Here is a 13,108-nt window from a genome sequence, read left to right as displayed (position 1 = left end):
ACGCCCAGCTAATGTCTGTATTTTTAGTAAACACGGGGTTTCACCATGTTGGCCAGGCTGGTCTTGAACTCCTGATCTCAGGCGATCTGCCTGCCTTGGCCTCCCAAAGTGCTGGGATTACAGGCGTGAGCCACCACGCCTGGCCCATCTTAACCATTTTTAAGTATACAGTTCAGTAGTGTCCAATGTCCAGAACTCTTTTTATCTCACAAAACCAAAACTCTATATCCATTAAACTCTTCATTTTTCCCTACCACAGGCCCTGGCAACCACCATTCTACTTTCTATCTCTATGACTCTGACTACTTTTGGTACCTCATTTAAGCAGAATCATAAAGTATTTGTCTTTTTTTTTTGTGATTGGCTTATTTAGCATAATGTCCTCAATGTTCACCCATGTTGTAGCATGTATTGGCATTTCCTTCATTTTTTAAGGCTGAATAATATTCCACTGTATGTATATACCACACTTTGTTTATCCATTCATCCTGTGATGGACACTTAGTTTTCTTCTACCTTTCAGTTATTTAGAATAATGCTGCTATGAACATGGGTGTCCAAATATTTAAGTCCCTGCTTTTAATTCTTTGGGTATACATCCAGAAGAATTGCTGGTTTAAAGTTTTTTGAGGGACCACCATACTGTTTTCCATAGGGGCTGCCCCATTTTACATTCCCAACAATGCAAAAGGGTTCTAATTTCTCCACATCATTGCCAACACTTGTTATTTTTTTGTTTTTGTTTTTTGTTTTTGATAGTTGCCATCCTAATGAGTAAGAGGTGATACCTCACTGTGGTTTTGATTTGCATTTCCCTAATGATAAGTGATGCTGTATACCTTTTCTTGTGCTTCTGGCCATTTGTATAACTTCTTTGGAGAAATGTCTATTCAAGTCCTTTGTCCAGTTTTTACTGGGTTGTTTGGTGTTTTTGTTGTTGAGTTGTAGGAGTTCTTTACTTATTCTTGATATCAATCTCTTATGAAATATATGACTTGCAAATATTTTCTCCCATTCTATGAGTTGCCTTTCCACTCTTGGCCTAATACATTGTAAATACAAACAAATTCTTGGATTTATTGGAGACTCTAATATCCTCATCACTAAAGGCCCTAACAAAGACTGTAGTTACCTTTCCAGCCTATTCCCTTTCCCAGCCAAGGCTATATGAGGTACTGTAGTTTTTCAAGGGTTGTGTAGCAGTTCTTGGCTTGGACCTCCAGGTGAGAAATCTAAACTCTATTTCTCTGTTACGTAATAAAGAGGTCACATAAGATAATGAAAAAGTCTTGGATGAATCGGCAGGAATCTTGAATTTTAGACTTGCTCTATCACTTACTACTAGTATAATGTTGGGTAAATCATTTGCCTTTTCTGATCTTTATTTATTTGCAAAGTAGAATCCTAATAATTGCCCTCATTGCCTCACAAATCCTGTGGAAGCCTTTAAAGATGGGTGGGCAATACTCTTCTGATATGATCCAGCAGTCATGCTCCTCAGTGTTTAACCAAATGAGGTGAAAGCTTATGTCTACACAGAAACATGCACACACAAATGTATGGCAACTTTATTCATAATTGCCAAAACTTGGAAGCAACTAAGATATGTAGATGAATGGGTAAACCATAGTATATCCAGATAATTACTATTATTCAGTGCTAAAAAGAAATGAATTACGAGGCCATGAAGGAAGAGGAACCTTAAATGCATATTACTAAGTGAAAGAAGCCAATATGAAAAAGTTACATACTGCATGTTTCCAACTATAGGACATTCTGGAAAAGGCAAAACCATGGTGAAAGCCCATCTGTACTAAAGATACAAAAAAAATTAGCCGGGTGTGGTGGCGCGCTCCTGTAATCCCAGCTACTTGGGCAGCTGAGGCAGGAGAATTGCTTGAACCTGGGAGGTGGAGGTTGCAGTGAGCCGAGATCGCACCATTGCACTCCAGCCTGGGCGACAGGGCGAGACTCCGTCTCAAGAAATAAAATAAAATAAAATAAATCAAATAAATCAAGGATTAGAGGAGAAAGACGAATGAAAAGGTGGAACACACAAGATTTTTAGGGCAGTGAAACTATTCTGTATGATACTAGATTGGTGAACACATGTTATTAGATACTTGCCGACCCCCTAGAATGTACAACACCAAGAGTAAACCCTAATGTAAGCTGTGAACTTTGGGTGATAATGATGTGTCAATGTAGGTTCTCTACTGGCAAAAATGTACGACCGTGTGGCAGGATGTTGCTAGTGGGGGAGGCTATGTGAGTGGGAAGCAGTGGGTATATGGAAACTCTGCGTATTTTCCATTCAATTTTGCTCTGAAAATAAAGTCTATAAAAAAAGGGCAGGCAGAAGAAGTGCCTTCAAGCAATTCAGAGAAGGAATTAGAGATGTGAAGAATAGGATTCATGGAAGTCAAGATAGTCAAGTTTCAAGAAATAGGTAATTTTCAGAATGTTTCAAACACAGTACAAAGGTACAAATGAGAAAATACTGATTAGACATGGCAATCAGGGATGACTGATGGTATTAGCAAAAACAGTTTTAGTTGAGTGCTGGGGCAGCAGTCAGAGTGCAGGATTGAGGGCAGAGGAGGAATGCTTAAGAGACAGGAAATGTAGTTATTTTTCTCATGAAGTTTGTATCAGAATTGTATAGAGAAGGAGAAGGAAGGTAAACAAGGACAGGATCAAAGATACAGAGAAATGGCAAGGAACAGAAGGAAGAATAGTTCATCCTCTGAAATAATAGTTAAAAGACTGGTGAGGATGAAGATTAAGTTTGTCAGCAGAGGGGTGTGAGACAGTAAGGAGGAAGGACGGACAATAAAAGGAGGGATGGACAATAAAAGAAGGCATGACCTCCTAGGAAGTGGGCGGCAGGACCTAACGCAACCTCATTTTTACACTCCAAGAAGTAGCAGCCAGAGAAACTGTCTTGTATCACTTGACACTAAATTATTTCATATCCACACTGAAAATTTTGAGGCCAGTCAGTTCAAATTATACCTTTCATCCCTGTAATCTGTAGGAAAAATCTAAGATGAAAGTCTTGGTCACCTATTCTCCCTAAATCCTCAATCTTCTCTGTCCTACTGTTCTGTTTTTCCTCACTTCAACTCATTCTGTTGCTCCTCTCTCTCCCAACTCATTCCACGATAACCACCTGAAACCTCTGTTCTAGGATTAAACAAACCCTCATACTCTTAGTCTCTTCATAGAACACTCCTCTTATTGTCTAACCGAAACCTGGCTATCTCACGAGGACACTAGCTGTATTGTACCCCTACAGCAGAGGTGATGTTTATTCTCCACCCCCATCTTCCACAGGTCCAGAGGCAGTGCCGGCACTCTCATTGCCACTTGCAGGCTGTAACTCTACTACTTTCAAGCTTAGGGTTTAAAAGCTTGAGGCACGTGATGTCTGGCTTATGTCACACTCTTCCCCTCCAGGTTGATGTGACAGTGAAGTAGCTGTTTTGCAATTTTTCTCTCTTCACTCCAACACCTGCAATCATTCTGGCTATCGTAATATCATGCAAACAACACGCCCTAGACTCACGGTTCTTTGCCCTATGCCATTCTTCACACCATCTCAGCAACATCCATACCCTGCCAACTGTGGCCTGCTCTACTGAAGTAATCCCAAGCGTTAATATCCCACTCTGAGTACAGCCCCTCCCCACCAACTAATTCTGCACAGCATCTTTCCTTCCACACATATCTTCCTTTAACATCACTAAGGCCTTCATCCTCCAACTGTTCCATATTTTCCTTATTTATCTTCCTGGCCTGGTTTTGCTCCATATGAAATCTGGACCCCATTACTGATTCTTTAGATTCCTTTCTCACCAGTACTCCCAACTGCCTTTCCACATACCCATAAACTTCCAAATCTGAATCAATTCTACTACCCACTGCCTCCTATCCCTGACATACAAGCACTGCTGGAGAAAACTGCATGAACACGTATACTGCCATCATTAAAATTCATGTTTTTAAATTTCAGTTGGGCCTTTTGGACTTGTCTTTGGTCAGCTTCCTCTCCCATTCCTTGTGGAAGCTTTTCTGATCTTTCATCATTATCCTCACATCCCTTATTCTACCTTTCTTGGTTGCTACTGAGAAAGCTAAGGTCATGTGTCAGATGAGAATTCTCTTCAATTCCAACCCTAAACCAAACCACTAACTTTGCATATCACTCCCTGCTTTTGGCTCCCTAGACTACAGCACAGAACCAAGTCTAGGCTCCTTGAAATGACCACTTCCTCTCCCTTCCTCTATGTGGCAGCAGTTATACACCACTCTACCCACTGTGCCCTCAACACAACATGCTGCTTCATGTCACTGTGTCTTCTGTTCCCTTTATCATTCTGTTTTCTCCTCCAGCTAGACTTTTAAAAAAACCCTGCTAAGGAATTCTCTTCCATGACACTTCCCCTGACCTCACCCCCACAAAAAATCCCAGTTAAACACTTTCTCCTTTCTACCTATTCTTGAGTTTATATTTATTACTGCAAATTGTACACTGTATGGTAATTTTTCATGAAGGTAATTAAAAGAGTAAATTTGGTGTGAAATGACTGGTAGCAACAAGAACTGTAAGAATTGAGTGACAAGTGAAATCACAGTGGGATGGTGAGAAAAGTTTTCATTCATTCAACAAATAACCAACATTAATTAAGGATACAGTATGTGTAGTAATGTTAGGAGCCGTGGGTGGACTGTAGGTTGGACACGTATGGGTATAAAACTGAGAAGATAACTGATTTAGATCTTAAAGAATGGCTGAAATGTGGACTGACTAAAAGAAGGGTGAAGGAGAGGATATCAAAGAGACACAAATGCACACATAATTGGCTGATATAAGCTGTCCAGTCCCAGCTATAGTGAAAGATTTAGGAAGAGTAGTATTAAAAGACAAAATTGAAAGCTTAGTCATAGAATTTTGGAGTTAGAAAGGGCCTTAAGAATCATTTAGGTGAGGCTAGGTACAGTGACTCACACCTGTAATCCCAGCAGTTTAGGCGGCTGAGGCAGGATTGCTTGAGGCCAGGAATTTGAGACCAGCCTGGGCAACATAGCAAGACCACATCTCTACAAAAATAGAAAATTTAGCATGTTCATGTGGCACACACCTGTAGCCCCAGCTACTTGGGAGGCTGAGGAGAGAGGATTGCTTGAGCACAGGAATTCAAGGCTGCAATGAGCTATCATCGTGCCACTGCACTCAAGCCTGTCTAGCCTGGGCAACAGAGTAACTGCCTCTAAAAAGAATAATCAGCATCATCATCTAGATGACCCATCCTCCTAACGAGGAATAACATTCCTGACAAATGGATGAGGTCATTCAACTGTTAGTAGTACTGAGGTAGTCTACTCACTATTTTACTCTCCTAAATGTTAGAACTTATTTGTTTTAATGTTATACTGAATAGAAACATGCCTTCTTTAACATCTCCCCACTGGTCCTAGTTCTGTCCTCAGCTGCACCCAGCATAGTCTATTCCTTCTTTATGGCACAATTTTTCAAATATCTTTCATTAGTTGATATGTGACTTTGAACAAATTATTTTCTAAGGATCAACTTTCTCATGTCTAAAAGAGTGGTATGACAGAGGCTAATTATCCTGATATCTGTCCTCTCCTCCCTTTATTCTAATTCAGTGTTTCGTTAGGCATACAGGCACCCAGCAAAAACTAAATTTCTCAACCTTGGGGCTGGATGTGGCATGGTGCTGATGTTCTGGTCAATGGACTGTGAGCACAAGGGACCTTCCCTTCCCCTCTCCTCCTTCCCAGTGGCTGGAATTCGGATGTGGGGTGAGCCAAGTCAGTCCCTGTGGATGAGAACAATACCCTGAGAGCAATAAGACAAAAAGAGTCCAGGCCCCTGACAACTGGACAGAGCACAGCTACCACACTAGGTTGGACTTCATATGAAAGAGAAGTAAACTTCTATCTTGGTTAAGCCAGTTATTTTTTAAAAATACCTTGTTATAGCACCTGACATCCATTCTAAATCAAAAACAGGTGACAATGGTTTCCTACTTCTATTAAAGGGGTTTTGTAAGAATCAAATAAAATTAGGAATGTAAAATATACATATATACAAGTCAATTTTTTAGTATTTGAAGACCATTATCTTCTCTCAAGACTAACCCCAGTCTCCTGTTATTAGCATAATTCAAGATTCTTAAGAATCCGAATATCTTCCTTGGACCTCCATTTGATAACCCTCAAAGGCCTGCACCCCAAACCGAACATAATTTTTTACAAGCTGTGTAGATAAAACATGATCTACTTCCCCATATATTTAATTTAGTGATCTCTGTATGTGTGTCATCTTTAGCAAAACTACAACAGATCTTTTCTCCCAATATTTGCTTTCTTTCAATATTTACAAAATGCTGGCTATGTAAGGCTCAGTGATACAGTGGTGAATATTAACTTACTGGTGTAAAATGGCATTAATACTATTTTTATAAGATATGACTATCCAATAATGTGACTAAATTTTGTGAACTTAGTTGTACAAAGCCACATCTTGAAAAAAAAAGTGGCATGAGTACCATTTTTCTTTTCTTTTGTTTTCTTTTCTTTTTTTTTGAGACAGAGTCCTGCTCCATCACCCATGCTGGAGTGCAGTGGTGTAATCATGGCTCATTGCAGCTTCAATCTCCCAAGCTCAAGAGATTCTCCCACCTCAGTCTCCCTGAGTAGCTGGGAACACAGGTGCATGCCACGAAACCCAGCTAATTTTTAAATTTTCTTCAAAGACAGGGTCTCACTATGTTGCCCAGGCTGTTCTTGAATTTCTGGGCTCAAGCCACCCTCCTGCTTCAGTCTTCCAAAGTGCTGGGATTACAGGCATGAGCCCATAAAAATGCCTCGCTGCATTTTACTTATCTTTCATATACAATTGCCTCAGGGAAAATCTAAAGGGGCCAGGTCTTGTAACCTGTTTAGTGATGTCACATATTGGAACCAGTTTTCTGAAACTGACATTCAGAAAAAGTTATACTACATATATTTACCTACCATTTTTATAAAACATAAAAATGAGAAAGCATACAACACAAAGCCTGAAAGGCAGTAGAATTTAGTGATTAACAGTGGTCCTTGGAGCTAGAATGCCTCCTAGCTCTACCACTTACTAGCTGAGTAACTTTTAGCATCTCTTTGTGCTTCTGTTTCCCCAGGTATAAAATGAGAGTAATAGCAGCAATAATGGCAAGGGCACTAATAATGGTAATGACGTAATAATAGCACCTTCCTCACGGGAATATCTTGAAGATTAAATGTAAAGGCTTAGAAAAGTTCCTGACGCACTGGGAAAGTGCTCAAATAAATGTCAGCTACTATTATTACAGGTATTATAATAATGTGAATTGATGACTCCATTTCTGGTCAGGGTATAAGGAATTTTTTAATTAAAAAATTTTTTATTTTAATTACTTAACTATATTAAAATATAGTTGACAAAAATTGTATATACTTACTGTGTACTATGTAATGTTTTGATATGTGTATATATTGTGAAATTGCTAAACCAAGCCAATTAACATAGCCATCAACTCACATATTTATTTTTTTTGCTGTTGGAGAACACTTATGATCTATTCTCTTAGCAATTTTCAAGTATAATACATTATTATTAACTATAGTCAGCATTCTGTACAACAGATCTGAACATATCCATGCCACCTAATTGAAACTTTGTGCCCTATGACCAACAGTTCCCCATCTCTCCGTGCCCTCACCCACTATGAGTTCACCTTTTTTATATCCCACATATATGTGAGATGATGCAGTATTTGCCTTTCTGTGCCTGGCTTATTTCATTTTAAACAAAAGTCCTCCAGGTTCATCCATGTTGTCACAAATGACAGGATTTCCTTTTTTTTTTTTAAAAGGCCGAATAATTTCCATTGTATATACCACATCTTCTTTATCCATTCATCTGTTTACAGACACTTAGGTTGTTTCAATAACTTGGCTATTGTAAATAATGCTGCAAAGACAATAAGAGTACAGAATTCTCTTCAACATACTGATTTCAATTCCTTCGAATGTATACCCAGAAGTGGGGTTGCTGGATCTAGTGTATAAATAATTCTGTGCCATATGGTCAGACAGTACTTTCTACTACTAGTAACTTTTGATAATTTGCTGCTTATTAGTGATTACTAATCTTAAAAAATCAATTTAATGCACTGAAGGGCAAGTTGGTAATATATATCAAAACCCTTAAAAATCTGCATGCCCTGTGACTCTATAATTCCATTTCTAAGTGTTAATCCTAAATAAATAATAATGGATGTATACCAAGCTTGGTTATAAGGATGTTTATTGTAGTTTATTTATAAAACTATTAACAAAAAAGAAAGGAAAGGAGAAAGCCTTTCAAAAGTGACTTGGTTCAATAAGTCATGGAAACTCATACAATAGAATAATATGCACCATTAAAATAATCTTGTAATTGAATATTTAATGATATGAAAAGATACATGAAGTAAAAAACCATACTAAGTATAGTATAATCTCATTTTGGCTTAAAAAGGGTATGTGATAGTTGTGTGGGGGAGTGTGGTCATACATGTATGTGTACAGATCAATAAAGGCTCCTAATTTCTATACTAAAATATTTATAATAGTGATTATCCCTGGGTGGTTCATTTATGGGCAATTTTTGTTCCTTTCTTTCTGCCTTTCTATTTTCTAAGTTGTCCATATGAATCTGTATTACTTTTTCAATAAAGAAATGTTTACTAAAAAGAAATACACAATGTGCAGTGAACTAAAATCTTGAAAACAGAAGGATGTACTCTGGCCAAAAGAAAGAAATCCTTTCCGCTTGTTTAGAGTAAAAGGTCCAATACATAGATGTGCTCATCAGCTTCCCAGACACTCCCCAAATTCACATGTGTTTCTGCCACAGCCTCATGTGAAACTTAGAAAACTATTTGGCTATCAGCACAAAAAAAAAGATGAACAAAATAAGGCAAACTAGGGAATTCTAAAAGATATAGAAAAAATTTCTTCCTATTATTCCTTTGTTTAAGTAGGCCAGAATTAAACCTGCCATGCCAGTTTTAATAAACCTTAAAAGTGATTTAAATGCTTTTGCAAAGGAAGTACGGTGAAAAGATTTAAATACAATAATACTGTCCTTTTGAAACATCTTCAGAAATACAGTCATGTACTGCATGAGGACATTTTGGTCAACAACAGACCAAATACACGATGTGGTCAGAGCAACAGGCTATACGACATAGTCTAAGCACGTAGTAGGCTATACCATCTAGGTTTGTGTAAGTACACTCTATGACTTTTGCACAATGATGAAATCGCCTAAGGATGCACTCCTCAGAACAGATCCTCATTGTTAACTGATACATGACTGTATTTTATTAGACAACAATTTAGCCTCAGTTGAATAGACCACCATAATCGTACAATGTATTTTCCAAATATTTTATTAACTATGGCATGTAAAAATCTGACAATTTACCCTGACCATTTTAATAATATTTATTACAAATAATTACCTTTTAGTCTTTATATTTTTCCAATCTCTTCATTGAAAACAATACCAAGAAAAACTGGCTTCTAAAATTAATTTTCACTAATAATCTTTATTTTTATTTATTTATTTTTGAGACAGAGTCTTACTCTGTTGCCCAGGCTGGAGTGCAGTGGTGGTGATCTCAGCTCACTGCAACCTCTGCCTCCCGGGTTCAAGCGATCCTCCTACCTCAGCCTCCTGAGTAGCTGGCATTACAGGTGCCCACCACCACATCTAGCTAATTTTTTGGTATGTTTTTTGTAGAAATGGGGTTTTGCCATGTTGCCCAGGCTGGTCTCAAACTCCTGAGCTCAACCAATCCGCGTGTCTCGGCCTCCCAAAGTGCTGGGATTTACAGGCATGAGCCACTATGCCTGGCCTTTTTTCACTAATAATCTTTAAAAGGGTAAAAACAATGTAAGGAAATTCTAAATAAGTTTAGTAAGCAGGCCTATATGGCTCCAATAGACAACATCTAAGAAATCCACATACCGCATAAATGCCTCCCACTACTCATCAGGCTGTCACCTCAAATGTAGCATGCTAAGCATACAACTTAACCCACTATATCTTCCACCACCATATGCAATATTCCCCTTAAACAAAACAAATAATTTTCCTGACTTCTTTACTTCTGTGGTGGCGTCAAGGCATCTGTCATAAGATTATCATTTATCAGTCACTTACATGAGACACCTCGGAGTTCAGGTTCTCATTAGCTCCTGCCTGGGTTATTTTAATAGCCTCCTAATTTGTCTCCCCATCTCTAATTTCCCCCCCACCCAACCTTGAATACAGATAGCATCAGCCTGTCAGCCAGGTGATACGCCACTTTAACCACACAACAACTCAGTTCAAGAATCTTAGGTTTAATTTTACCCTATGAGCAGTAGAAAGCAACTCTCATTTATAGAAAGAGAGTAGAAAGAAACTCTTTACAACAGTATTCAAAGTCTTTCTCTAATCTTATCTTCTGCTTCCATTCAACATGAACGCTCTGCAATCAGGCTGATCTATTATCAACTCCTATTGATGACTTGCTCAAGCTGTCCTCCCATCCTCACTTTGTCAATGCAAACTCATCCTCCCAGAGTGCTCCACAGAAATGCCAATGTGGTTGTCAGTAACCATTACAGTTGTAAATTAACTCTTTTGCTTTAGAATTTCAACAACACTCAATATATTGTCTGATCCATTGATTGGGCACTAAGTCACACTGTCTTCTACTGTCAAGCAATTATACATCTATGATCTAATTTCATTAGAAGTAATTCCCTTGTGGATCCTTATATTTGTTGTACTTCTCACAATCCCAGATGGAGAGCTATTAATAGAAACCTGGTAAATGCTCAACTAATACTTGGCCAAGAATAAATGATCTGCATGTTTAGTTGTTGTACAAAGCCAAATATATTAATATATATATCAAATACATATGACCTATATATATTTGGGTCTCTCTATTTATATCTATATATGCAATTTTCTGTGTGCCTCTAAGGCTTTTCTGTAGCAAGATGAGTATTATTTTATAAAGGTTCATCCATCAGGGAGTCTCCAAGACCAATCCTAAGTTTGGTGATTCATTAGGACTCACAGGACTCAGCATACAGTCCTACTCATGGCTAAGGTTTATTACAATGAAAAGATACAAAGTCGAATCAGCACACACTTAACTTCTCTAGAATTAAATTGTGATGTGCTGTCTACCAGGGAAACTCATTAGAGACTCAATGCCCAAAATTTGTATTAGGGCTGGTCACGTAGGCTGCCTAGCAAGAACCAAAATTCCAGATGGAATTTAGCATAAACCACTCCGTACAGTCTAGGCACAGTGAGCCACTCTTATCATTTACGTAAAGTTTTGTATCATGTATGGAACCATTTACCATTCAAGCTCCCAGATGCCAGCCAAGGGCCAGCCTTGTACATAGGCCTTTCTAAGAATAGCAGTCTTGGGCCTGCTATATTACCTCTTTTCTATGTAATTCATTTCATATTTTTACAGGAGAAATGTTACAGTGTTAACTACACCTGACTTTTAAGGGGCACATACAGCAATTTTTTAGAAGTTAAAATCTAGCGTTCAATTAGAGATGCACTGCCTTGACTGGCACCCACTAATTAAAAGTTCTGTGATTTTGAAATAATTCACTTCCTTTAGATATTTCAGATTTTCTTTTTTTTTTTTCTTGTAAAATGAGGTCTCTTTCTCAAACCAACAATTTTGTAGTTGTTAGGATAAAGGAATCAAATATAACATCTCAAGCAAATGGACCTTCTTGGACAAGTTCCTGGTCTCCTCTTTAAATGCCAACTGGGTGCTAAGGCACTGTTTAGGTGTTTTGGGCACATCATCTCACTAAATCCTCACACCACCACATGTCAGTGATGGTTTCTATTTTACATACAGAAGTTTTGGGACTCTAAGTAACCCATCCAGGTTTACCACAGTGGAACTGGGGTTTAGGCTTAGACTCACCGCATTCCAAATCCTTGCTCTTAGCTTTACACCAACTATCTCTACCTAATGTCAAAGGCACAGGCTCCTTATTGTGAGTCATTTCCCCCATACTATATGGCTTTTTGGTTTGGCTACACAGAGCACTATTCCTAATCTTACTTAAAATCAAATTGATCAAAGTCAAATTTTAATTGGAAGAAAAAGGGGTGAGTTTAACCCAAGATACTCAACTTTTTCATTTCTAAGTCTTGCGGAGTATACCCCTTGCTCATTAAAGTCATTAGGAAGCTCCCTATTCAGAAACTTTCATATATGGCACACGATTTATTCCTTTATCTGGCACCACCCTGTTTGAAGTTACACAGACCTGATCAGAATCTTGGCATCGCACTTACCAGCTGAGGGGACCTTAGGAAAGTTAGTTATGCTTTCTGAGCCTCAGTTTATTTATCTACGAAATGGAACCCCTACCTTATAGACTTGCTATGAGAATTAAATAAGATAATATATTTAGAAGCCAACACATATTTGCTGAATAAATGACTGCCTACAACGAAAGAATAAGTGACTTGTGGGAAGTAAGCCAAATAAACATAACTGAGGTAGGAAGGAAGCCCCGTAGACAAGTGCCCTGACCACCAGGTGTCACCACTGGCCCAGGAGCGCCAGTCTAACTGCCTGGCGTCGGGGGTGGCACCCTGCAGCAAAACAGTCTAGGCCTCAGGGCAAGACTGTCACCTGCACCAACAGGACCTTCACGAATCGGCTTAGGCTTTTCAACAAGTAAGAGATGGTCCAATATTTTTTTTGCACCAAAATAGGTTACATTCTTCTCTTACAGGTGTTTAAAATACTTAGCTGAATATCCACTGATGTGTCACCACAGTTTAATTTTAAAAACTGTCTTCGGCAAACTATTAATTTCATATATCCTTTGGTTTAGCCAACTAGACATTTTCTGGCTTCCATAGGCTTCAATATTGCCCCAAAGACAAGTTTCTAGCCCCAATTCCACAATCCAGTGACATTATTTCCTTTATACTATAAATGGGATGACGGAATTTTTTTTA

The 13,108-nt window shown here is 38.4% G+C and overlaps 1 protein-coding gene across 1 annotated transcript in view, besides 1 other annotated feature; it reads right to left on the bottom strand.

Annotated features, from left to right (window-relative positions):
• Nucleotides 1-13,108, bottom strand: part of EEIG2 (EEIG family member 2) — a 79,223-nt gene that overhangs the window by 64,709 nt on the left and 1,406 nt on the right. The gene's annotated exons all lie outside the window — the stretch shown is intronic.
• Nucleotides 5,574-5,789: a silencer, noted in NCBI's record as "fragment chr1:109111447-109111662 (GRCh37/hg19 assembly coordinates)". NCBI's record gives its function as "represses an EF-1alpha promoter that drives an FKBP-Casp9 reporter gene in an ReSE screen in HepG2 liver carcinoma cells {active_cell/tissue: HepG2}" and the evidence as "EXISTENCE:reporter gene assay evidence [ECO:0000049][PMID:32094911]".

Source organism: Homo sapiens, chromosome 1 (genome assembly GCF_000001405.40).
Source record: "Homo sapiens chromosome 1, GRCh38.p14 Primary Assembly".
Lineage (NCBI taxonomy): Eukaryota > Metazoa > Chordata > Mammalia > Primates > Hominidae > Homo > Homo sapiens.
This window is presented reverse-complemented; position numbering and strand designations above follow the sequence as displayed.